Source organism: Homo sapiens, chromosome 6 (genome assembly GCF_000001405.40).
Source record: "Homo sapiens chromosome 6, GRCh38.p14 Primary Assembly".
In the NCBI taxonomy this organism is placed as follows: Eukaryota; Metazoa; Chordata; class Mammalia; order Primates; family Hominidae; genus Homo; species Homo sapiens.
Window position 1 is genome coordinate 155277479 of NC_000006.12, and position 27584 is coordinate 155305062.

The 27584-nt window shown below is 37.9% G+C and overlaps 1 protein-coding gene across 10 annotated transcripts in view; it reads right to left on the reverse strand.

Moving 5' to 3' along the window:
* The window catches only part of TFB1M (transcription factor B1, mitochondrial), an 84614-nt gene that overhangs the window by 47608 nt on the left and 9422 nt on the right, over window positions 1-27584 (reverse strand). For 9 of the 10 annotated variants that reach the window (NR_146725.2, XR_007059269.1, XM_047418852.1 and 6 more), the window contains exons 3-5: window positions 20999-21107; window positions 19475-19626; window positions 7680-7799 (exon numbers count right to left, since the gene is read on the reverse strand). Coding sequence is in view for 8 of the 10 variants with exons in the window: in XM_047418852.1 (XP_047274808.1) it covers window positions 7680-7799; window positions 19475-19626; window positions 20999-21107 (381 nt within the window). In the remaining 2 variants the exon portion in view is untranslated. Of the gene's footprint in view, window positions 1-7679; window positions 7800-19474; window positions 19627-20998; window positions 21108-22027; window positions 23099-27584 lie in introns of those variants that run through there. The other variant, XM_011535873.3, reaches the window with a different exon arrangement.

The following is a 27584-nucleotide window of genomic DNA, read 5'->3' on the forward strand; positions in this document are numbered from 1 at the left end:
AATGGTAAAGGGGAAAAAAGATTATTTCTTTGTACATTAATAACTCAGGAAGTGGGAAGAATATATTTTACGTAAGTAAATAACTTTCATTTGTGCATACAGAAATAGACTAACATATCCTATACCTATTTTACTGGGTAGACATTCTCTTCTGCAACAATGTCATTAGCTATTACTGGAATAGCTAAAACGAAAAGGTATTATCACAAACGGGAATTAGGAAGGGGATCATTTTGTAGAAGGTTAAATGATTGTTTAAAGTATGTATTCCTTTTGAGTGGTCAAAATGTTATTTTATACACAAGTGTCATACTAAAAAGAATTCTGATGCAAAGAATGATTTCATGCAAATTAATGTGCTAGAACTGCTTTGATCCCATTAATAGTTCTTCTCTCACTTTGCTGAATGTGGCTGGGTTTACATAGTCTATGTAGCCTTTAGTCCTACAGTAAAAGTTATCTTTATATCTGCTATATCATTCTATATATACTTCAAAAATAATTTTTATTTAGCTCTGGAGTATTTTCTTCCTAAGTAGAAACACGAATGTTTCAAACTCTCAGAAAACCAGCCATTTTATATGAAATAATGGCCCAGTGTATTGTTTGGAAGTGGCAATCCTGCAATAAATGATGTGGAGTCTCTCTATTCCTACAGGAATTCCTATCCCGCTGTGTTCATTCCTCCACCTGCACTCCTCCCAGCCTCACTCCCTCACTACCAAAGCTCCTGCTCACCCTTCAGGATTCACACGGACCTCTCCTGTAAACTCAATCCTGACAGCCTAGAAGTTCAAGCCCGCATCTGCACTCGCAGAAAATGCTCTATTTAACAAACTATGAATTTAATAAATGCTCTCATTTAATCCTCACAATAGCTCACATGAGCACACCAAGACTTAAGTAATGTGTACTGTGTAAAAACGCTCTATTTAAGAAGTCATGAAATTATGAGTTTACATGATTGCATCTCCAACTAGACTGGGAGGTGTGGTGTCATTTTTAGCTCTGCATTCTCAGTGACATGTCATGGCAAGTGCTTCCTAACACATGCCAGTCCTGGTCTAAAACCTAACACATGCCAGTCCTGGCTTAAACCTAACAACTCTACCAGGTAGGCACTATTCTCAGGATCTTACAGGACACTGAGGGCGACAGAGGTGACATAAGTTCCCTAACTTGCCCAAGTTCACACAGCTAGTAAGTGGGGAGATGGTTCCAACCTGAGGGAACCAGGTTCTGGAGTCAAACTACCCGGGTGCAAGCCCTGGTGTGGGTGCATGGTTACACAGCATGCATTACTTAACTAAGGTCTTGGTTTGCTTAAGAATGGCATCTACCCTCAGAGTTCTCGTGGGGATTAAATGAGATGATACACAGAAAGCAGTTGGTGCACAGAAAGCATATGACTAGTGTTACTCAATGGTTCTTAGTCTAATCCAGTGGCTCTCCCTGGGGTGAGTTTAGCCTGCAGGGGACATTCGGCAATGCTGGGACACTTTTTTGGTTATCTTAACTGAGGTAGTGCTACTGGAATCTAGTAGGAAGAGGCCAGGGATGCCTTTATGTATCTTACAATGCACAGGACAGACTCTGGCAACAAAGAATTATCTGGCCCCAAATGTCAACAGTTCTGAGTTTGAGAAATCATAGTCTAATTTATCGAATATACTTATTCATTCTTCTTTGATAAAAAGTTACCAAAACAAAACCCAAAAGACCAAAAATATCATACTTTTTTTTTTTTTAACCTGTGGAGCACGTGTATATCTATACATATGACTGAAGAATTCATCTAGTAATTCTGACAAAAATGATAGACTTAAATTAAGTCAGAAGAATTGGGTACAAAATTGGGATGGGTTTGGGAGAAATTTAGGTAATGTCAGAAGCTGGTTAACGACTGACTAGTTCTGAGGGTCAGCAGTTGTAAAGGTCTGGGGAGGTGGTGCTTAAGATGACCTCCAAGGTTTAGGCTTGGATGACCTGGGTGGATGATGCCATTAGTCAGCATAGTGAATAAGAGGTGCAGGGAGGGCAGGCCCACTAGGGTAGTTAGACAGAAGTTCAGTTTTGGATGTGGACAATGTTTTCTCATATGTCTTTCATCACTATATTGTCAGCTACATGACTTTAGCAAATACTAACTTACTTGACTTTTGAGATTTTTAGCCTAGCCTATAATTCTGCAGAACACTATCACATTATTATCATTATCTCCAGTTACTTTTGTATTAATTTCATTGCATTTTATACATACATAAAAGTACTGTCTGCAAAAATGCAATTTTGTTTTTTCCCTCCTTGGATTTAGAATACTTACCATTTATTCTTGAGCAGTTTATGGAAGCATGCCTAGTACTGAATTAAAATTGTAATAGCAAATACTCTTATCTCTATTCAACACGTATTTTACCTGATTTTTAAGGAGGATGACTCTGGTACTACTTTAATTATAAAAATGGCTTTTGGTTTATATTTATTTTTATTTTGGACTCAAGGGCTTTAAAAAAGAATTTGAGGCAACTTATAAAATTGCAGGTATAATAAGTATAAAAACAACTGATAAAGATGAAAGACTAAAGTTACAAACAAAAAGAAGAGAGAAAAAATGCTATTAAATGTTCCTGGTTGAAGCATGCTAAAGCAATTAAACATGAAACTTAGTTTAGAACTTCCAAGCAACTGCGGCAGAGAGGTGGCCATGTAAGTAATCTGACAGCTTTGTCTACTGGTAGGAAGCTAGACAGGATGCTGTGTCTTGGCCAAGCTCCTTCCACTGGGCCAGGGCAGCCACCCCCAGCTGCTGGCACTGATGGGTGCTAATGGCTCCCAGAGATGGAGCTGCCTCTACTGGGAAGTGACTGCCCCACTGCTCCCTGCAAAGACTGGCTGGCACAGGTTCCAATAAGCTGGTCCCTTGCCTCAAGGGAACACAGACGCGTGGGGCAATTTGTGCTACACAGCTTCTCCTCCCGCCGTGGTTCTAGGCTGAAGCTCCTCCAGGAGGAACAATATGTTTACTTAGCTCTTCCCCTGCCCTTTCCTGCTACCCTCATGCCCCTTCTCCTGAGGGCCCTTGTCAATACATCACCTTTATGAAAATCCCATCTCAATCTGATTCTAGGAGGAGAATACAAACCAAAGACAGAAGAGTCTTAGTTAAGTAGGAAAACACTAGTGTTCTGACCTCATACCAAAATGATTCTTGAATACAAGGTAAATATACAGCAGAAATAACATCCTCAATGTCAGATTTCAAAAAACACAAAAGCATGAAAAACAGTTGTCTCTTCTGTGGACCCATCCACCCACCAAACTCAAGACTATCTCCCACAGAGGTCAAGGCCTCAATAGCTGTGAACAAGCAGGGTTGGAAGCCTCTAAAACGCTCTTCAAAAGTCAAGAGTGGATGTCTCAAGTTCCAATCTTTTCTTTATATGTCATGGATATATCATTAATTCATCTACAATTTAATGGACACTATTTATGCTTTAAATGTGTACCATGTTTGAAGGTAACTTGTTCTATATACCACACTTCCAAATAGGAAAAATTAAATATAAATTCTATATATAGCTTAAAAATTATAATCCTTATTTTTATATCAGAATACTACAACTTAGTCCATAAATATTTGTTTATATCATAACAATAACAACTACTTTGACTGGCAGCATTCACTGCCAGATACTCATATTAGGCACTCTGCATTGATTATTTCTATTCCTCACAAATGTCCTTCAAGGGTGGTATTATTGGTCAAATCTGGATGTAGTAAACTCAGCCTATTAACCCGACCAAGCTCTCAAAACTAGCAGTACTGGAATTCCAGCAGGTCTAGCTTACTTGGAAGTCTACTGCCTCTACCAGTGTCAATTAAAAAGAACCCGTTACAACTCTCATAATATAACTAAATGATTTTTCTACTAAGTCAGAGTAGAGAATAGTGTTGAGAACTGGCTGGGCGTGGTGGCTCATGCCTGTAATCCCAGCACTTTGGGAGGCCGAGGCGGATGGATCACCTGAGGCCAGGAGTTCGAGACCAGCTTGGCCAACATGGTGAAACCTCGTCTCTACTAAAAATACAAAACTTAGCGGGGCATGATGGCGGGCGCCTGTAATCCCAGCTACTCGGAAGGCTGAGGCAGGAGAATCATTTGAACCCAGAAGGTGGAGGTTGCAGTGAGCCGAGATTGTGCCACTGCACTCCAGCCTGGGCGGCAGAGTGAGACTCTGTCTCAAAAAAAAAAAAAAAAAAAAAAAAATAGTGTTGAGAACTAAAAAGCCTTTCCACTCTTTACGAACTATGTTAGATTATGAAGCCTATCACCATAATTCATAAAAAAAAAGACAGAATTTTGAGGATCTAGCTAATAGCTCAGTATTTCCCAAACTTGAGAAATGTGCAGAGTAGCTGAAAAAAAAGATTAAGCGTGGAACCCCAGAAATATGTGGATTCTCAGGGATCTACAGAGGCTAATAGAGAAAAGCTAGCTTGAGAAACTTAAGAAACAGGTTGTATTCTGTCATGAAAACAATTTTAGTTCTGAATTTGCATTGCAAAAGACATTGTCTTGTAAATGTAAATAATTTCATTAACAGTGAAATGAAAACACAAAATTAAAAAAATTCTAACTTAAAAGCTACATACTACAGACTCTAATAGTTTAAGAGACACTAAAGTAGACCAATTAATTAGTCTAATTTTAAGAACCTCAGAGGTTGTCTGTTTTGCAGACACAAAGTATTTTGGGTTCAAATTTTGGGAACTACACTAGAGAGCTTAATAAGAGTAAAGTTCAGCAGTAATTCAGTTCAACTAGTCAGAACAGGATTGTAATAGTTCAATGGTAGTGAAAGTTCTGCCATTAAAGCTTGATTGAGTTAGTTAAAAGATTGAGAAACAGAAGGGACAGCAGACTCTCACAGGAAAAAATCCCGAAAGTGGTTGTAAGTAAGCCCCTCATTGTATCACAAAAGAAATTCTCTATATCTGATTCTTAGAGTTTTGATTGAGAATAAGTAATGAATGTTAGTAAATTTCTTCTGAGCATTAATCTCCCTCTCTCAACCACCCAGGAATCTGCCCAACCTCTATTTTTAGCGCTTAGCTTATCTTACCTTGTGTTGCAATTATGTGCGTCTAGGACTTTCTCTTCTTGTATGCAGAAGGTTTAGTTAGAGTACTAGCCTTGAATTAGTTTATCATCTCTGTAAAAACTCTTCCTCTTTCTTATTTGAGAAAATGAATTTTTTTTTTTTTTGAGATGGAGTCTCGCTCTGTCACCCAGGCTGGAGTGCAGTGGTGCCATCTCGCCTCGCTGCAAGCTCCGCCTCCCGGGTTCATGCCATTCTCCTGCCTCAGCCTCCTGAGTAGCTGGGACTTGAGGCGCCCACCACCATGCCCGGCTAATTTTTTGTATTTTTAGTAGAGACGGGGTTTCACCATGTTAGCCAGGATGGTCTCGATCTCCTGACCTCGTGATCCGCCCACCTCGGCCTCCCAAAGTGCTGGGATTACAGGCATGAGTCACTGTGCCCGGCCCAAGAAAATGAATTTTTAAAACATTTGCTCAATGTAACTGTCAGCAAAATATTTTCTGGCTTTCTTCAGAACATTTCTGCTTTGCCCTAATATGGTAAAACTACTTCAAAGCAGCAGAGAATTCTTTTAGAACTAAAATTTAGCCTGTAATCCCGGCACTTTGGGAGGCCAAAGCGGGTAGGTCACTGGAGGCCATGAGTTCAAGACCAGCCTGGCCAATATGGCAAAATCCTGTCTCTATGAAAAACTACAAAAAATAGCCGGTGTGGTGGTGCACACCTACAAGTCCTTGATAAGTGCTTTTCTGGATTACAAATAAATCCCCTGTATGTAATAGTTACAATATAATAAAAAAAGTGAAGTAAATTGCTATGAAAATGTTTAATTTGCCAAAACGTAAACATCCCTCAATAAAAAAAGGAATCAAAGACATAGCTAGCTTTTTTCCAAATAATAAATATTTTCTTGTGGCCTTAATCCCAGAGAAGGTAAATTTTAATTGATAAACTACATATGTACCTTACCACTAAATCAAAGATAAAGTGGATAATAACTTCGAAACTCCATCAAATAATCTCAACTAGGTAACTAAAACAGAGTTAGAAAGCTTCCACTAAAAATATTCGAATATCTATCCTAAGAACCCGTTAGTAAAACTTAAATAGCCTGGAGATTCTGGATAATGGTCATAACCATAACTATAGAGGCCTATGAGTAAGGATCTTGGTTTTTGATATAATGAGTCTTACACTATTTAAAATGTTATATGCACACACATGTGCATGACAAGAAGAAATCAAGCTACATGGTCACTGGTTTTTTATTTTTATTTTTTTCATTATAATGGCCACCTGTACTAGGAGAGAAAGTCCCTGAAAGCACAAATGTTTTAAATTTGAAGATAACCTATAAGATACCTCCAGTCATCAAATTCTGTCTTGGATCTAATTATTCTAGGAGAAGTCATTCGCAATGTCTCTGAAGTCTGAGATGCTGAAGGGAGGTGGCACCGATAGCAAGCTCCCTGAGCTCGATTTAGAAAAAGCTGACAATTATGTCTGTTACGTAAGGGGAAGATGGCCTGACTTCCTAGTCACCTGAACGCTCAGCTAACTGGCCAAATGGCAAAGAAGTATGAAGGTGGCAGCAAAGAGCATGGAGATCACTTAGGCGTCTTCAAGACAGACAAGTAGATCTAACACTATTGGTTAGGGTCTCCATTCTAAATCTAGAATCTATATCTAAATCTATAGTCACATAATGCATTTTTTTCCATGCTATCTCTTGTTATTTATGAAGGATACATGATGCAAGGGACACTCTGCAAGACCTTATATTTGAGAGTTTTAGGGACCAGTGAGAAATTTCTATTCCTCATGAGGCTGTGAACTCCCTGAAGGCAGACTCTGTATCGGATTAGGCTCATATCCCTGTAGACTCCCCTTGCTACCCAACGCATTTTCAAACAGTAAATGCTCAATATACATTCACTGAAGAAAAAGATGAGTTTTTAATAGTACACATCTTGTAATAACTCACCAAGCAGTGGTTTTGCTAAAACAGACAACGGTTTTTTTAATTTTAATTTTTGGCAGAGAAACTCTGTTTCTGTAACTAGCACTTACTCACATAACTAGCATATAATATCAAAGCCTAGTTTAATATCCAACTGTTTCTTCCACAGATGATTTACCACAAATAACACTACCATAATAAGGTCTCCCAAAAAAGTGTTAAGTAAATAATGTTTGATGTAGCTTTAGTTAGAGGTCTCTAACAGAAAACACAAAAGTATTTTATTTCTTTTCTCAAATATTGGGTGACCGTGTAACTTATCTTCCATACAGGGATACTTTAAGAGTAACATCATGAAGATGAAGATGATGAATGATACTGCCACCAGGATAACATGCATGAACCTAAACATTTAGTCACCCTACCTAAGGAGAACAATTATAGTAAGAACTAGCTATTCATATTACGATTTTTGTGGTTCTTATTCAGAAGTAAAGTACAGTGTCAGTTTGCACATAAACAAAGGTTAGATCCTAGAGGTTATTTCCTATGACACATCCTCAGGGGAACAAACGTCCTAATTCCGATATACTACAACAAATAAGCAGAAACTTACCTCTGGTTTGGGGACAAAAGCTTGTCCTGGAATCGTAAAGATGTGTCGAACATTGCAGAGGTACTGAGCCATAACAGAGAGGCGACTACGCTGTTTGCTTCCTGTATTGGCTGCAAGTCTCTAGAGAGAGACAAAAATGAATTTTAGCAAATAATTAGTCCAGCCTGATTAGATGAAAAAGAGTCAACATTCCATTATTTCTGAACACTAGGTGGACTTTTTGAGGCAAATTTGAAAAGAATGGGCTATCTGACACATGACACACAGCAAACATGGGGAATATTTTCCTCCAACATCAACTGAGGTACACCTAAGAAATGTGAATTATGTCATATATAATGCACTACAAAAATAAGAACATTTGCTCTACCAATGGCTGTTGGGATTTTTGAACCACTGTTATATTCTATAGCAGAAGGTCCTACATAAAACAAGCAATCAATAAATACTTGATGAAGAAATTAGCAAGCATAATGAAAAATGAAAGATGCTTAAACACTTAATTTTCTGAATCACCCCAATATATGAATGAACATTTTAAATGGTGTGCTTTTCAAATTCACTTAATATAGTAAAACCTTGAGTATTCAGAACCCTTGGGAAATTGGCTGTTCTTGACAAATAATTTTTGTAAAACCTAGTAATTTATTCTTTTAAACACTCAAACATTTTTGTTTTGCAATTAATTAGGTATATTTCAATTAATTCATAAATGCAATGCAATTTCAATTAAAAGTCCAACAAGATTTTAAAAATTAATTTCCATATGTATTATATATATATTTAAATTCCATGTAAAATTTATATAAGGCCAAGAATGGCCAGGACGCTCCTGAAGAATACCAACAATGATAGGGGAGCTCACCCTACCAGACATCAAATTGATGCAGGCCCAGACAGATCAATAAAACAAATGCCTCAGAAACAGACCCAAGCACATTAGATATTTAACACACGATAGATGCGATGTAGCAACTGCTAACAGAAAAGGAAGGATCATTCGGTAAGTGACACCGGTGTAATTAGATATCCATAGGAGAAAACAGTAGGTCCTTATCTCATGCCATAACCAAAAAAACTCTAAGCAAATTAACAATAAGTGAAAAGCAAAATTTTAAAATTTTTATAAGCAAATATCTATGACTTCCATGGTAGGGAAGAATTTCCTAAAGATGTAAAAGCAGAGCTATATAAGAAAAGACAGACAGACAGACACACACACATATATGTATATATGTATGTATATACATCTTTCTAAAATATATGTATCTATGTATGTCTTTTCTTATATAGCTTTGCTTTGGGGACAAAATATATATATATGTGTGTGTATATATATGTGTGTATATATATGTGTGTATATATATGTATATATATACATGTGTATATATGTGTGTATATATATGTATATATATACATGTGTATATGTATATGTGTGTATATATGTGTGTATATATATGTGTATATATGTGTGCATATATGTGTGTGTGTGTATATATATATGTATATATACATATATATATATTTTTTTGATCTTGGCTGGGAACAGTGGCTCATGCCTGTAATTCCAGTGCTTTGGGAAGCCAAAACAGGTGGACTGCCAGAGGCCAGGAGTTCAAGATCAGCCTGGGCAACAGAGCAAGACGCCCTCCTCAACAACAATAACAACAAAAACTACTGTACTTTATTAAAATTTTTAATTTCTGTATAATAAAACATTATAAATGTTTGTAAGTCACAGACTAAGAGAAAGTATTTGAAATTTATAGTGTTCAGAATACAGATGAAATTCCTGTACATCAATAATCATAAGATAAATAGCTAATAGAATATATAAGGCAACTCACATAAGAGAAATCCAAATAAACCATAATATAAACTATGCTCCACCACAGTACAAAGTAGGAATATGCAAATTAGAACATTACATATAATTTCATACACATGAAATGAACAATTAAAAAAAAAACCTAACAGAACCTGATATTGGAGGATATCTGCAGCTATAGGAACTTTCAGATACTGCTAGTGAGAGAGGAAATCTGTACAAGCATTTGTAGCATAATTTGGCAATATACAGTAGAGCTGAAGCTGTGTAAAACCTCATGACCCTCTAGGTCTCTAAGAACATATCCTAGAGCACAGCGTACATACATACTTACACGGGCGATAGGTATAAAAATGTTCATTATGGTATTATGTGTAATGTCAAGAAATGAAAAAAATAATAAAAATCAACATGTGAACGAAAAAATAAACTGTGATAATTCTGATAATGGAATACGAGATTGAATCCCAAAATGGAATAAAAAATAATCAAGTCACAGAAAATTTGTACAGTATAATGCTATTTGTATAAAATCTTGAAAAGACTACTCCTATCATTTACTCTGAGTGTGTGTGTGTGTGTGTGTGTGTATGTGTGTGTGGTGTATTTATCTGCAATGTAAGGATAAAATATGTATGGAAATAATGATGACGAAAGTTTAAGATAGTACAACTCATAGAAGGGAAAGAAAGGGGATAGAAGAGGGCTCCAAACATATCAACAATATTTTATTTCTTTAAAAAAGATATAAAAATATGGCAATATATTAAAATTGAACAGAGCTGAGTGGTGGGTAAAAAAATTTAGGGATGCTTATCTTTCTAAAATGTATCTTGCCTCTCTGTGTTCTTAAGAGCTCAAAGGACATTCTAACCCTCTTCTGAATGATTCAGGGGCAACATTACAAACACCAATGATTACTGGAATAATCCTGGGGCTAGGTAGGCAGGCAGGGGGCCCCACTGCTCAACAGTAAAAGACACAGTGCTTTCTGAGCTGGTTTGCAGCTGCTGGGTTTGCTCTTTCCCGCTTCACTGCAATGCACACACATAGTCTAATCACTTCTTTTCCTTTGCTGCTTGTAGCCTGCCGTGGATGAAAACCATATAATTTACCTTATTAGAGCTTTGCCTTAAGGAAGATTAAAAAATAGGTTCTGTGTGAGATATGGAAGAAACTTCCTATGGGCAAAGTTATAGATTGTACTCAAAGCCAACCTTTCATCTCATACCTCTTCCCCATGACCTTTTTATTTTAAACTGTCTGGCTCTTGTCTGTTTGGAGAGTTGAAATTATTGGGATGCCGTACTCAAGATAAGTGATGAGTTACTATAGCATGTAAGACAAAATATAATCTTTCTTACTAAAATGTAAAACCAAGACACATATACTCTCATACAGCTACAAAAAATGACAGAAGTAGAGATTTAAGTTAAAGAATAAGCTTATGGATCAAGTGGTCAAAAATATTTCTAGTTCTTCATAAAGTAAAAAAGGAGCTTAATCTTACTACTGGCAGAAAATTCAAAAATTCAAAATGCATTGCAAATTTTAATATCCAACTGGCACAATTCAAAAAAGATCTTATTTAAGTATTTAAGTATATTTCACTTAGAACACATCCAGAAACGTCAGGGGAATATGTGTCCCAATCCATTAACCTGACCCATTCAATTCAATCTTTGTAGCATATATCCCCAGGCTGTAGAGATGAAAACATGCGAATCATATATTTCAATTTAGAAAAAAGCAGCACACATAGCTGTCCCTAACTCATTAAGGAAAAATTCAAATCACAGACCAGAAAGCTCTACAAAAGATTTCATTCAAAGCTAGCATAAAACTGAAATGTTCTATCAACCTCAAATATACATTACTGTTTCTGTGATAGATGTACTATTGGGAAAGCTATAAAAATTCAACATCCATTACAAGATAGATGATTTTAGCAACAAAAGGTCAGGAAACCAAACTAGTTAATTTTTCTTTAAAAGGAAACCTCTAACCCTTGAGCTTTTAAAAAGCATTTTGATGGAGTATGAGAAAAACAAGGGGTCAAAGAATTTACAAGGACAGTGGTTTTTTTTTTCTTATTAATCTAAAATAATTTTAAGTACAAGGAGAAAAATTAGGCTTACACTTGAGAAGCTACACAGCCATATATCAGGGACAATGAGAACTATGTAAGGTAATTAATGGAGAGGGTGACTCCCTCCCTGCTTGGGATGTGCTCATCAACAGCCAGGGTCCTCTGGAGATGGTGGGAGAAAAAGAGGCTGATGCTGGACCCAGAAAGAAAAGAACACAGGGCCAGCAGCATCGAGAACTTGCACATCATGACTTTAGCAGAAAACACACTACCTGTACTCAAGTTCAGCCTTCCCTGTAACTACTCCATGACCTTCTGGAAGGCATTAAACCTTTTGAGCCTCAGTTCATCATTTATATTAATAAAATGAGGTTAGATGGGATTAGTTCTCACTTACTGCTTAACAGTCTGATTATATTTTATGAACTGTAACTTCATATTGTCTATATGTCCCTTAATGCATATGAGCTGAATTCTTACACTTAGATCCTGTAGTGCTAGAGACAGGAATAAGACGACGGTGCTCATTTATTTCTGTTTTGTAATTAACAAAGCCAATCAAAGTAAATGTTAAAAAGAGCTTCCTGTGGCTAAAATACAAAATTACATATACAGCCATGTCAAGAGTAAATGGCATATAAGAAAATGCTGCTATATGAAATGGTGCGAATTACTGTCCCTGCCCAAATCTCGCCAAATTGTAATCCCCAATGTTGGAGGAGGGGCCTGGTGAAAGGTGATTGGATCAAGGGGGCAGATTTCCCTCTTGCACGACAGTGAGTGAGTTCTCATGAGAACTGCTTGTTGTAAAGTGTGTAGCACCTCCCCACTCTCTTCCTACTGCTCCAGCCACATAAACCATGCCTGCTTCCCCTTTGCCTTCTGCCATGATTATAAGTTTCCTGAGGCTTCCCCAGCCATGCTTCCTGTAGAGTTGCAGAAATGTGAGCCAATTAAACCTTTTTTTTAAAATAAATTACCCAGTCTCAGGTATCTCTTTATAGCAGTGCATAGAATGGACTAACATAGGGGCTGGGCGTGGTGGCTCACGCCTGTAATCCCAGCACTTTAGGAGGCTGAGGCGTGTGGATCACGAGGTCAGGAGATCGAGACCATCCTGGCTAACATGGTGAAACCCCGTCTCTACTAAAAATGCAAAAAATTAGCCAGGCGTGGTGGTGGGCGCCTGTAGTCCCAGCTACTTGGGAGGCTGAGGCAGTTGAATGGCATGAACCCGGGAGGCGGGGCTTGCAGCGAGCCGAGATGGCACCACTGCACTCCAGCCTGGGTGACAGAGCGGCGAGACTCGGCCTCAAAAAAAAAAAAAAAAAAAAAAGAAAAGAATGGACTAATATAGTATATATATATTCTCCCACTGAAACTTTCACTTGCAAAATGTGAAAATCAGAGGACCAGTGTTACCTAGACTTCTAAGGCATTCCATAAATTATAGACTCTATATAAACTCTTCTCAATATTCATGCTAAAATTGAACTAAAATCAACTTTTTTTGTTAAAGAAAAAGAATTGCATATGGTGAAGTCGAAGCAACACTATTATTAATAACCACAACTGACATGCTGAGTCACCGAAAATATTACTCCACCTCTTCTTAAGCCTCTGTTTCTTTGTGTTTCCCCCCACACAAATAGAGTACATAGTATTTTGTATCTCTATTGTGTTATTCAAGAGCAGAAATACCAAAATAATCATGTCGGCTGAGAAAAATAAATCCACAGATGTGGTTTAATAAGAAATATATTTGGACTTTGTCGCTGGCTCCTAAAGCCCTTGAAATTTCCTGAGTAATCGGCATGTCTTGCTTTAAATTCACAAGTCCCCCAGAGTTTACAGTAATGAGATAACTTAGGATGAGGCCTCTAGGTAGCTCAAGATGGGGCTGGTCACTGAGACCAATTGATTACCCATTACTCAAGTGTAGGTAAGGTGTTTCCCTGAGTTTTTGAGCCATTCTGAAAAATGATTCAATCTGAGGAGGGGGACATGGAACCCTCTGATTTATTTTATAGCTGGTCGCTCAGAACTCCTAGAGGCCCAGATTTGTGACTGTCATCTGAAGTGAGGCGCAGTCTTGTGGGACTTGGCCCTTAACTTGTGGGATCTAACACTAAAAACATGTGGACAGTGTCAGAATTGAATGAAACTGCAGGATACCCAGCTGGTGTTCGGAGAATTGGAGATTGCTTGGTGTGGAAAAAACCCACACATCTGGTGTCAGAAGTTGTATAAGTGCAGAGGAAACAAGAATGGTTTCTGTCAGAACCAACATATCCAAAGGTTGAGAAAAACAACAAAGAAAACTCAGCATGGGCCCAATTCAAACCAACCCAAGAGAATTAGCAGGTTCATGAAGAGGAAATGACAAAGACCTTAAGAAAAGTGGTGATATCATCTCAGGGTTCCTAACAAACATGCAACGGTCCTACGTTTTTATGATGGGAAGTTCCAAGACTCCTGAGAGAAAGATTTTATGGCCAAATCATCTAAAGGAAAGTTTTCCAACCTTGGCATGACTGACATCTTGGGCTGATTAATGTTGGGTGGTTCTTCGCTGTGGGAGGCTCTGCTGTGCACTGAAGAATGCTTCCCAGCATCCCTAACCTTCTATCCACTAGAGACCAGAGCCCCCTCCCTGGTGTGACAACCAAAAACATGTCAGACATTGCCAAATGCCCCTGAGGAGCAGATAAGGCAAAAGTGCCCTTGTTGGAAATGATTCCCCTAAACAGAAACAAGGGTAAAAAGAGAGGGATAGATCTAAGAAATGAAATTCTTATGATACACTCAAATTATCTGAGAGGAAGGCATTTAAAGAATTAAGCTTATGTAGTAGTAGAGTCTATTGATTTCAAACAAATTCTGGCATTAAAAAGTTTTGTTCTGAAACAAGTATAAAGCTGAATAAGTCATAGGAAACAAGAGTTTGCATAAACAGGACAACAGGTGGAGCAGGACTGTCATTACTGAAATGGAAAGGAGATGAGCCTTAGATGCCCGGCCTGAAGAGGACTGGAGGCCCTTCTCAGGCTGCAGCAGAGGCAGGGGGCAGCTCAAACTGAGCCTAGAGGTCTCCTGGGCTCAGGGAGCCAGACCTGGAGATCTGGGAGGCCTCGGCAGGCAGAATTTGTGGGGCAGACTACCAGAGACATGGAAAACGCACACACGCGGTGCTCACACGTGTGCAGGAGCAGCGGGTGGGGGAGACAGGAACAGGAGAGGGAGAGAGAATGTGAGGCAGAGCTCCTGAGGTAGCAAAAGGGTCCCAAGGGTCCCCCAAGTCCCCTGCTGAGCACTGATCTGCAGGTGCCTGAGGCTTGGGAGCCTGAACTAGAACCAGGGGAAGGCAGGAGCAACTGGGGCTCACATGGCTCAAGAGGCCTTGTAACATGCAGGGCGTTGGGTGCCTTCCTCAGAAAGGGCATGATGTAGTACTGGGGCTCAACGAGCCCCAAATTAAAAGCTACCCTGGATCCACCAGAACAATAAAAGCCTCAAGCAATCTTATCTATGTGTCACAACAAACCCAACACTCAACCCAATACCACAAAATCCAGCCCTCATCAGCATTAAAAAAAATAAAACTCTCACAATACCTGATGTTTTGTCAGAAATTATCAGGCTTTCAAAGAAACAGAAAAATGCAACCTATAGCAAGAAGGGGAAATCAATCACTAAAAGAGTACAGAAATGATAGAGGTAATGAAATTAGCAGGCAAGGATCTTAAAACAGCTACTTATTTGTTCAATTTTTTGAGACAGGGTCTTGCTCTGCCGCCCAGGCTGGAGTGCAGTGACATGATCACGGCTCACTGTAATTTGATCTCCTGGGCTCAGGTGATCCTCCCACCTCAGCCTCCTGAGTAGTCGAGACCACAGGCATGCAGCACCGGACCTGGCTAATTTTTTATTTATTTTTTGTAGAGACAAGGTAACATAGGGAGCTATGTTACCCAGGCTGGTCTCGAACTCTGGGCTCAAGCAATCCTCCCACCTTAGCCTCCCAAAGTGTTGAGATTACAGGTGTGAGCCAGCACGCCTGGCCAAAACATCTACTTTAAATATCATACATACATACATACATAGAAAAATGCCAAGGAAGGCATGAATGTAATGAGGACAGAAAGAGAAGATCCAAAGACCCAAATGGAATTTAGAGATAATTTTTTTTCATAATAGTTAACCAAATATCCATGCATTTACTTAATTCTTTCCTTCACTGCTGATTTTTGATCTGACCATTATCAGATACTGCTAAGGTGTCTGCATCGGGCTTTCTAGTCTAGTAATTGCTCTGTCACGTGCTGCTTCTCATACTGCTTTAATTATTAAAGCTTCACCATACATTTTAGCATATGACAAGGAAGTCTTTTCTCATCACTCTCCCTTTTCAACATTTCTTATGTATTGTTGCAGGTCTATTCCTCCAGATGATCCTTAGAACTGCGTATTTCAAGATAAGTTCTTTGAGGATTATAATTAGATATACAGAATTCTTGGAAAAATCAGCTTCTTTAAAATAATCATTTTTCCTTCTGGGGCTATGATATTTTTCTGGATTTATCTCAGTGACCTTGAGATTCTCAGTTAGGTTTTGTAGTTATTTTTATATATGTCTCTCATTTTTTCTTAGGTTTTCAAAATAATTATTTATCTCCAAATAATATTTTTGTACTTCTCATTCCAATAATGGTATATTTCCCTTGATTCACTCCCTGTTATATTTAGTTTTCTATTTATTTATCATGAATTCAATCTTAAACTCTCCTGAGTTTTTGCAACTTTTTTTTGACTCTATGCAAACTTGACAGTAGTTTTATCAAATTCCCCTTTTAATTGGCTCCAATCTGGACTGGTTGTTCTTCCTGAGGACTCCTTTCTCTCTGTCCTGTAGGGAGCCCTCTGCTTCCTGGATTTCATGTCATTTTTTTCTTGATGTTTCTAATCAGACCAATGCTTATATGATGTATCTAACCAGACCAATGCTGACAGAGGTGCTGACAGGGATCAACGAGGGCTGACTTGTGAGTAAATGGAGCTAGGTTAGTTGGGACCCATATGTTAAAAATAGTAAAATTGCTTCTACTTCACTATACACAGAGATCAAACCCGAGTGGACTATAGATATAAATGTGAAAGGTAAACATAAAGCTTCTAGAAGATAACAGAAGAATATCTTCATGAACTCAAGATAAAAGTGTTTCCTCAACAAAACACAAAAAGCACTAGACATAAATTTAAAATTAAGAATGCTTGCTCTTCAAAAGACACCATAAAAAGAAAATAACAACATGCAATAGAGTAGAAGAAATGCTCAACACATTTAACTAAGGACTAGTATGAAGAGTATTAAAGAGTATGTGAGAACTCCTCCAGATCAGTAGGAAAAAGATAAGCAACCCAAAAGAAAGGTGAGCAAAAAGCATGCACTAAAAACAAGGAACTCAAAAAGGCCAGTAAACACACAATAGTGCCCCATTTTGCTACAAACCAGCAAGGACAAAAGAAAACACAATGACATTCCATTACCCTGAGATTAATAAAAATGTACAAGTCTGGCAATAGTGAGTACTGGCAAGAATATGGAGCAAAATGAACTCATACACACTGCTGGTGGGAATATAAACAGGCGTGATGATTTCAGAGATCAACTTAGCATTATCTATGCAGTGGTGAAGATTTGCAGTTCCACTCCCAGGTAAATACCCTAGAGAAATGTTGCCCATGTGCCCCAACTGACACAGTATGGGATGTTTACAACAGTTTTGTTTGTAAAAACAGAACGATGAAACTAATTCATGGTCCACCAACATGAGAATGAATAGATAAGGATCTTACACAGTCAAATAGTGGGTAGTATATATAGCTACCTAAATAAACTACAGTCATAAGCAACGTCAGTGAATCCTACAAAGAATGTTCAGGATAAAAACAATACATACTATATGAATACACATTATATAAACCCAGTTGTCAAAAGTGGACAAAACTGGGCTGGGCGCAGTGGCTCACGCCTGTAATCCCAGCACTTTGGGAGGCTGAGGCGGGTGGATCACGAGGTCAGGAGATGGAGACCATCCTGGCTAACATGGTGAAACCCCGTCTCTACTAAAAATACAAAAAATTAGCCGGGCGTGGTGGCGGGCGCCTGTAGTCCCAGCTACTCGGGAGGCTGAGGCAGGAGAATGGCGTGAACCCGGGAGACGGAGCTTGCAGTGAGCCAAGATCGTGCCACTGCACTCCAGCCTGGGTGACAGAGTGAGACTCTGTCCAAAAAAAAAAAAGGACAAAACTAAAGTGTATTCATCATAGGAATATAAATCTGTGTGATAAGACTATGCAAGGGAATAAATCCAAAATTCACAGTAGTGATCACCTTACTAGCATGGGATGGAAAGGAGATGCAATCAGAGTAAGGAATACAATGGGGTCTCAAAGGTACTAGTGATTTAATTACCCATGTTGGGGGTGGGGATTCAGGAGTTCCCTTTATTAAGTCATCCATGTACATGGGGATTCAGGAGTGCCCTTTATTAAGTCATCCATGTACATTATACAGTCATCCGTCAGTATCTGTGGGTTCCATATCCATGGATCCAACCAATCCCAGATCAAAAATATTCAGGGAATAAAAAAGGATGGTTGCATCTGTACTGAACATGTACAGATTTTTCCCTTATCATTATTCCTCAAATAATACAGTGTAACAACTATTTATAAAACATTTATACTGTCTTAGGTATTACAAATAATGTAGAGATGATTTAAAGTATATGGGATGATATGCACAGGTTATATGCAAATACTACACTGTTTGACATCAGGGACTTGAGCACTTGTAGATTTTGGTATTTGTGGGGGTTCTGGAATCAATCCCCTATGGATACCAAGGGATGGCTGTATACTCTTGTACTTATATGTCATAATAAAATTTTTTTAAAAAACCACTTAAGAGTCTGCACATCCGTCCTTATACCTTTGCAGCTCAAGCACCACCCCTGCTTACCCTGGAGGGTTTACTTTCTAGAGTGAACCCAGAACACTTCTGCCATGGGAATGCAGGCATAGCAGACTTCACTGAGGTGAGGGAGGAAGTACAATTTATATACTGAATAATGAGACCCTCAATCCCCTTCTCTTTCTCAGCTCCAAATTGATTATCACATTCTTCCCGCATGCCCCGCCGAGACAGAGTCTTGCTCTGTTACCCAAGCTGGAGTGCAGTGGCACGATCTTTGCTCACTGCAACCTCCGCCTCCCAGGTTCAAGCAATTCTCCTGGCTCAGCCTCCTGAGTAGCTGGGATTACAGGCACCCCCCACCACACCCAGCTAATTTTTTTTTTTTTTTTTTTTTTTTTGTATTTTTAGTAGAGACGGGGTTTCACCATGTTGGCCAGGCTGGTTTCAAACTCCTGACCTCGTGATCCGCCTGCCTCGGCCTCCCAAAGTGCTGGAATTACAGGCATGAGTCACCATGCCCGGCCAATTATCATATTCTTTAACTGCCATGCCATTAAGCCTAAAGGATCAATTTTAAGGTATCACGTGCCAATCCTGGGTATGGCCAACAGGGCATCACTTTTGTCTTTCTCCAGTGGCATCGATGGCTGTTGCATCCCTGTGTTTACCACACTACCTCCTTGGCTAACATACATCATTCATGTTTTCCCAGAAGCCCACAGCAGTTACATCTGTCATCATCATCAAAGTTTTAACTTTTGGCTGAGCTGCTGCTGGGTTCTTGTGTGTGTAATAAGATATTAACTTAGAAAACACAGACTGTGGTAAAAATGCAGTATTATTATTTTGCTTTGGAATTTGAACATGTGATAAAATAGTCACAAAATGTTAAAACTTACCTCTGCCACTTCCTTTTGAAAAGTCAAAGTCATCTGAGTTCTGCCATAAACAAAAGGTCCATCTCTACAGGAAATATTTTCAAGCCACTTGATAATCAGTGGAGTTGAAACACTAAAAGGCAGATTTCCAATAATATGTACATTTGGAGGATCTGGTGGCAGAGGAAAAAACAACCTGAAATGATTCCATCAATATATTCTGAATACAATTTCAGTGACGAGTAAAATCAGACTGGATATTAATAGCATCAAAGAAAAATATATAAATAGACATGGCTAAATTTTTTTTTTCACTTATTATTCAAAAGCAATGTTTTCTCACAATCTGCTTTGGATTATTGAGGAAAAAATTATACTTAATTACTGCTCAGTTACTCAGAGAAAAGTCCTTGAATTTCTGGCCTAGGAAATACAGGAAAAAGAGTTGGCTTGAGGAAAAAGAGAATTCATTTTGGACATGATGAGGTTAAAGTGCCTATGGAACACCTAGATGAAGCTGTCAGAGGTCAGATGCCCAGGAAGGGGGTACAGGCAGCATATAAAGATGTGAATGTCTGCAATACGTAGGTGGTAAGTGAAACCATAGGAATGGAGTAATCTGGCAAATTTGCCCAAAAAGAAAAACCCCAGAAACAACAATCTGTACAAAGTGGGTAGAAAAACAACCACCAGCTAAGAATAGTTAGAAAAAGTTCACAAATGTAAAAGGAAAAACAGGAGGGGCTGGTATCAGGGAGAAAAAGAGCAAGAGAAATCCTCCGGAAGACTATGGATTACAGTTAAATGAATTTGGGAGAACTCAGTCAGATAAGGTTTGAAACAGGTAATGAGGAAGGCATTGTGGTTCCAGTGTGGCTGGGCTGGGGCAGAAACCTGAAGACTGCATGCTAAGAACAGGAGGGCCTGTCAGCTGGCAGAGACTGCAAGTGCGGCCCAACTGAAGGAGTCTGGTCATGGGGGAGGCCAGAGACATGGGGGCAGCCAGATGTGGAGGCACCTAAGCCCTCCTCCGTTTGTTCTGAGAGTCTGTTATAGGAAGAAACATACCCTATTTATCTATGCATTCTGAAGGGCTGCACACAGCAGGTACCCAATAAACACTGTCTGTGAATGAAGACTGCCTTGGTTGGTCATTGAATGTGAAGAATAATAGAAAAAGTTAAAACAATGGCTTGGGCATGGCTTAGTTTACTAAAGCACTTCTTTTTTTCCACTATTTGGAACAAATAACAATTGATAGTTTACCCTATCCTTATATGGTATCACAAAAAATGGTTAGTTTATTTGCACAGAATACAAAACATTTGGAAATGAGACAAATGAATTAGAACTAAAAAAAGTAACTAGATTTTATAATTTGGAAGCAAGTAGCAAGAGAAAATTATAATACACATTATTTAATTCTGTTCAGATAATTTAAAATATAAACATATAAGACATTTGTAATAAATGTATCATAAAATGAACATTTGTGATATAAATAATCATAAAAGAAATGTTTTATAACTACCCAAAAGCACTCACCATCTTCCCAGGGTCTTTTAAGACTTTCTGAAAAAGCCTTTTCTACCTTAAATGTCAAGACATCTCCATGAACAATTCTCAGTTTCCCAGGTGCTGCATCAGAAAGCATCTAGTTTATAAAAAGATCAGTAAAATGAGCTCATATACTTATGCGAGTAACAAAACTAAACTTTTTAAACCTGTGCATTTAAAAAATCAGTTAAAAAAGTCAGAGACCAGGGGTGATCATTAATGAACAAATACTGCATCACGTCTATTGCAACAGACAATGGTGGCGTTTCATTTTAACACCTATGAATGATTAGGGATAGTAACAGACAGTACAACACTAGCTTACAATTTTACAAATATATTAGTGTAATTTTGACCTTCAGGATGACTTCTATTTCTATATAGATTTAGCAATAAACTCACTCCTATCAATAAGTTTTTAAATTAGAGACTAAGGACATTATCATGAAATACAGAGAATTAATCAGGAGTCAACCATATGAAAGATAAGCTTAATTTAACTAAATCTTTATAGCCTAAATATATATACAAAGGATTCTATATATCATCAAGATCTTTAACTTAATATATGCGTAGATTTAGCCAAGTAGAAAGTCACCTGTCGATGCCAGTCTCCACTTGGCACTCCGAGATACTCCTCTGACCAGAGCATCCCTAATCTTAATATTTGTTGATCCATACCCCTTATCGACCTAATGAATTACCCTGGATGTTTAACAATAGCTACTTCCCAACCTATTTCCACGTACTAATCATTTGCTTTCTTTCCTTTTCCTTCTCTTTGTGAGCAAAAAGGGGAAAAAAAGCACTTTTTCCCTTGTAGTCTTTTTCTTCTTCATTCCACCTACTCTACCACCACACTCTCACAGTACTGAAGAGTTGGCACTTAATTCAAAAAACTTTATAGCTAAGTTATCTATAAATTCATATTGTGTTAAGTGCCCCATGCCCAACACAAAACTGATTCTTGAAGTCCTTAGTTAAATATTAAAAAAGTCTCTGAGCTTATAAATTTACTTAAAAGGCAGGAGTGAATGTATCAACGAGAAGAAACATCACTGCTAAGGTAGATTTCAAGGGAAGAAGTGACTCTCTTCCCACATTAAGTCAGAGCTCGGAGAACCTTGGCTTCAACTCAGTTGCCAAGATTCTAGAATGTGCCCAGCACTTTATAGGGATGGTGAACAGGCTCAAAGGGAACATTTGCCCTGAGCCTACCTTGGTCCTAATTCTCTAGGTCCATTAAAGCTGATTTTTTTTCTCCTAACACCTCTCCTTGCCCAACTCATACAACCAAGAGGGAGGATAAACAAGATGATCACAGAAGCCAGAGAGGAGACACTGGACCAAGAAACATGGCTTGTGGATTAGTCCACCTTTGTGTCAACACTGTACTGTGCGTCTGCCTCTTTACAGCACTTACAAACTGTATCTCAATTTCCCCTGCAAGGACATATGCTCCTTAAGGGCAGGACCCATTTCCTATCTACCTTTATAGCCCCTGTAGCTACAGCAATGCATGGTGAGTGTTTAATACATATTTAAGAAGTGCATGAATAAGTGAATGACCAAATGGCATTCAGGTCTCTGTAAAGCTGGAAACTTTCTCTTTTAGCCTGGGAGATGTTGGCTTCCCAAATTTGTAGGGTCTAGAAACTTGCAAAGATTTACTTCACAAGTCAATCAGGCAGATTTATACAAATAATCTTCCAGAAATAAATAGCTGAAACGCCTCTATTGGTAAGAGGCTAAACATACTTTTAAGTCTGGAAATCATCTAGTTTGATATGTTTAGCCATGGTAGTTTAGCAAAAATAATTGCATGCCTCTGATACTAATGTACTTATAGATTATTTTAAATTACCACTAGTTAGTAAAACTTGATCTGGTGAGTTCCAGGCAATAAATCTTGGAAAATATAACGATTTCAATATACTAAAAATTTAAAAAGAGACAGCTCTCTATGCGGCATGCTCTTAATGTATAAAACCACATATTTAATCACAGTACTTATCATCAATGGAAAACGCTAAAATTTTTTCTATAATTATGTTCACAAAGTTAAAACAAATTAGCACGCCAAAAACAAAGAGGCAGAACTAATAGCTTAAGTCTCATGATGTCAATATATAGAAAGTATTTAATAATTAGTAGTTAGGACTAAAACACAACAGAACAATGTAAATTTGGCTGTTTGACGTTAACTTAATTTGAAGTGTTAACTTTTCCCACCCTGACAGGTACAACTGTATATCTAAAAGCTAATATAATATAAATAAATTTACCTTCCTTTCCTGGGTTTTCTTTTTTGTTTTTGTTTTTTGTTTGTTTTTTGAGATGGAGTCTCGCTCTGTTGCCCAGGCTGGAGTGCAGTGGTGCAATCTTGGCTCACTGCAACCTCTGCTCCTGGGATTCAGGCAATTCTCTTGCCTCAGCTTCCCTAAGAGCTGGGATTACAGGTGTGCACTACCACACCTGGCTAATTTTTGTATTTTTAGTAGAGACGAGGTTTCACCATGTTGCCCAGGCTGGTCTCTAACACCTGACCTCAAGTGATCTGCCCGCCTTGGCCTCCCAAAGTGCTGGGATTACAGGTGTGAGCCACCATACCCAGCTCCTTTCCTAGGTTTAAAACTACATTTCTTTTGGATTCCCATTCACTTTTCAATCTCAGTCAATGACAAACCAAATCCTCCCCACACTTTAAAAGGTACACCTCCTTCTTGACAATTTGTAGCTTGATCTACTTTGCAACTCCCCACTGCAGAAGGAATGAACGCTCATGTTAACAGATTTATGTGAAGTCCTTAAAGCAATTATGGGGAAACAGTGCTAGACAGACTAAATTGATATTATGATTATAGACAGTACCCTTTTAAACACTTCAAATGATATTAGGCAATAACACATGAAGACCTTCTAGCCAACCAGTAGCAGAAATGTTTTCACTACCATAATGATACATGGGGTATGGTGGAGGGGGTGGGAAAATCACTATTATATGCATTCGAGAATAACAATGGAGCATTACACTTCAAAACCCTGGAGGTGTTTTCACAGAATGTGCTTAAAGGCACAGCCAATCACAAATGCAGGCACCAGATTACAGCCAAATGAGTATTTTTACAGACACTCTCAAACTCTTCTTTCATTTTTATTTTAGTGTTCAATTCTATATTCTTCCAAAATGAGATGTATGCCAGTTTAGAGTAAAAGGCATCATTACATAAGGCTATAAAAGAAGAAACCGAAAATCAAACCATGAAGAGGGGAAGCATATATGTAAAACACAAGAGCTAACAATCCTAACAATCATGACAGCTAGCTCTCGTGATTTACATAATGAAATATATAATTTTTGCTTTTCAATAGTAGTTGTACCAAGACTCCAAGAGATAATTTTTTTTTCCCTGGTATTATGCTTTGTAAAGGGTACATGAAACAATGTAATAAACAATGCCTTTAATACAAGTTAAAACACAAATGTAGAAGCATTCTTTCTGTGGCCATTTAAAAAAAAATCTCTTCTCTAACCAAAGTCTTAGTGAAAGCTCCTCTGCAGGGGGCAAGTAATTGTGGTTTGGCTAGGCAGCTTTTTGTTGATTTTACTGGATGAGGAAAGAATTTAGGCAATTCTTAGAACTTACACAAAATTATCGATTCCTTAAGAAGAAATACTACATTGAATACCCATTTTGCATATTTTATGTCACCTTCTCATGTAAGGGGTTCATGGCAGCCAACACTGTAGTTACGTTAATTATCTTCTTCCTGATTTGCCACATAGTAGGGCCCAAATGCTGTTGAAATAAATATTTGTAACAGGGCTGGGCAAAACTGTTAAGCAAACTGTATGAGAAGGAAAGAATCTATAGTATAAAATATAGTAGGTGAAAGATAAAATTTGTATTCTTATATATAACACATATAAAAGACTACTGCTATTTATTCATTAAAAAATTAAGATGTTACAGCAGACTTTTCAGACTTTTAGAGGGAAGGTTACAGCATGATGTCAAAATGTCAATTAGCTTGCTTTATTTTTTTTTAGTATGTAAAATAACTTGAATTGTATTAAAAATGTACGTTTTCAGACTTTCTCAGTATTTTAAATTTATGAACAGAGCAAAAACAAACAGAAATCACATAACCACTCGTATCTTAAATGATACTACAAATATCTAAAATTATTTTTATAGGAATTTTAAGTTTGTTGGATATTTCAATGTCATTATCAAATCTTTCACTCTCTTTTTTAAATTTGACATTAGATTTGTATTAGTCCGTTCTCATGCTGCTAATAAAGACATACCTGAGACTGGGTAATTTATAAAGGAGAGATGTTTAATTGACTCACAGTTCAGCATGGCTGGGGAGGCCTCAGGAAACTTACAGTCATGGTGGAAGGGGAAGTAAACACGTCCTTCTTCATATGGTGGCAGCAAGGAAAAGTGCCAAGCAAAAGGGAGAAATGCCCCTTATAAAACCATCAGATCTCGTGAGAGCTCACTGATGAGATTTGAGTAGGGACATAGCCAAACCATATCAGATTTTATTCTATTTGTTTGTTTTATTTTTAATTGACACATAATAATTGTGTGTTCTTACCACAAATAAATGATAAATGTTCGAGGTGGATATGCTAATTATCCTAATTTTATCATTATACATTGTACACAACGTACAGGTATGCCAACGACACAACCTTCTTCCTTAGGCCAATGTATAGGGATGCTATATGGCACAATCCTCTTCCTTAGGCCAAGAACACTAAACCAAATTTCACCCTTTTCTTGATGACCTAGGGTTACTGTTGTCTTTAGAATAATGGCCTCAATAGTTACGAAGGTGTTTTTGCTACCCTATTATTATTATTGTTTCTTCTGCGTTTATATTTGTCTTTTATAGCTTTCTGTTACTGTAACAACTGTTACTTCTTACAGTTGTCAGTGGGCCTGCTTCTACCACTGATCTCCGTACTTATACTTTGTATGGACTAAAAAGTCACTTTGGCTGTAAGCCACTTTTTGCTTACTTGTTGAGTTTTGTCTATGTTATGATTAACTATGGTAACATCAAGTAAGTTACATGTGTAAAGTAAATAGTTACGTCACAATAGCAAGGAAGGCAATCTTCCTTTTTAAAAAAATTGTTAGAGATTAAAGAATTTCAAAACTTCATTATCTCTAACTAAAAATAGCTCTTTCTGCCTGGACGCTGAAATTACCTCATATGTCTCTTAATAAGATGACTGGAAGGGGAATAATTAAAATAGCAACTATTACTGGCTACTGGGATTATGCCAGGCTCTTTACATCCATTTCTATCCATCTTTGCAATATCCACAGAAGAGAACTATTATTCCCATGCTGCAGATGAGAAAGTTGAAGCTAAAAAAGGTTTAACAGCAAGCTTAAGGTCACAAAGCTAGTAGGTGGCATATCTGAGATTTGGTCACTAGACTATTTGATGCTCAATCCCATGAACTTTCCACTATGCCAATGAAGTATGGAAATAACCAGTGTTTACCTATAAGAAAACCCAAAGGTTAGGAGGCCAAGGCAGGTGAATCACCTGAGTTCAGGAGTTCGAGACCAGCCTGGACAACATGATGAAACCCAGTCTCTATTAAAAATACAAAAAATTAGCTGGGCATGGTAGCGGGCGCCTGTAATTCCAGCTACTCGTCAGGCTGAGGCAGGAGAATCGCTTGAGCCTGGGAGGTGGAGCTTGCAGTGAGCCGAGATCACGCCACTGCACTCCAGCCTGGGCACCAGGAGCGAAACTCTTGTCTCAAAAAACAAACAAACAAAAAACCAAAGGCAATACTAACAATACAATGACTTACTTTCTCTCTCCAAAAATTCCTCAAAACAACCACATAATTTAATGGTTAAGAAGAATCCTGAAACTTCCTACTCCGACAAAGATGGAGTCTAAGGGACCAGGCATATTCTCCTACCTTAAACCAATTTAAAAAACAGAGAAAATAGATGAAACAAAATTTTCAGACATTAGACAACAAAAAGCACAGGAAAACCTACAGATCCAAGAAGCTCAATGAATTCTACACACAAGAAACACGAACAAAGCTACTGTAAGCACATCATGATGAAATTGCTCAAAAACAGTAGAAAGTATCAAAAGCAGCCAGAGAAAAAAGAACAAAGGTAAGGATGAAAAAAGATTTGTCAGAAACTTTTTGCAATGCAAAAAGTTTGTCAGAAACAATGCAAGTGAGAAAATGGCGGAGCAACTTTTTTAGAGTAATAAAACAAAATACTGCCACAATATTTTCCAAAAATGAAGGCAAAAATGAAGGCTTTTTCAGTCTTCAGTCTATAGTAATAAATACAGGTGGCTGTTGGTGAAACAATAGACCTATAGATAAATAGAACAGAATTGGAAGTTCAGAAATAAACCGACACACATAAAACCAACTGATTTTTGACAATAGTACTAAGGCAATTCAATGAGGAAAAGACAGTATTTTCAAAAAATGGTGTTAAAAAAAGAACCTAAACCTTACCTCACACTATATGCAAGAATTAGCTCAAAATGTATCAAAGACCTA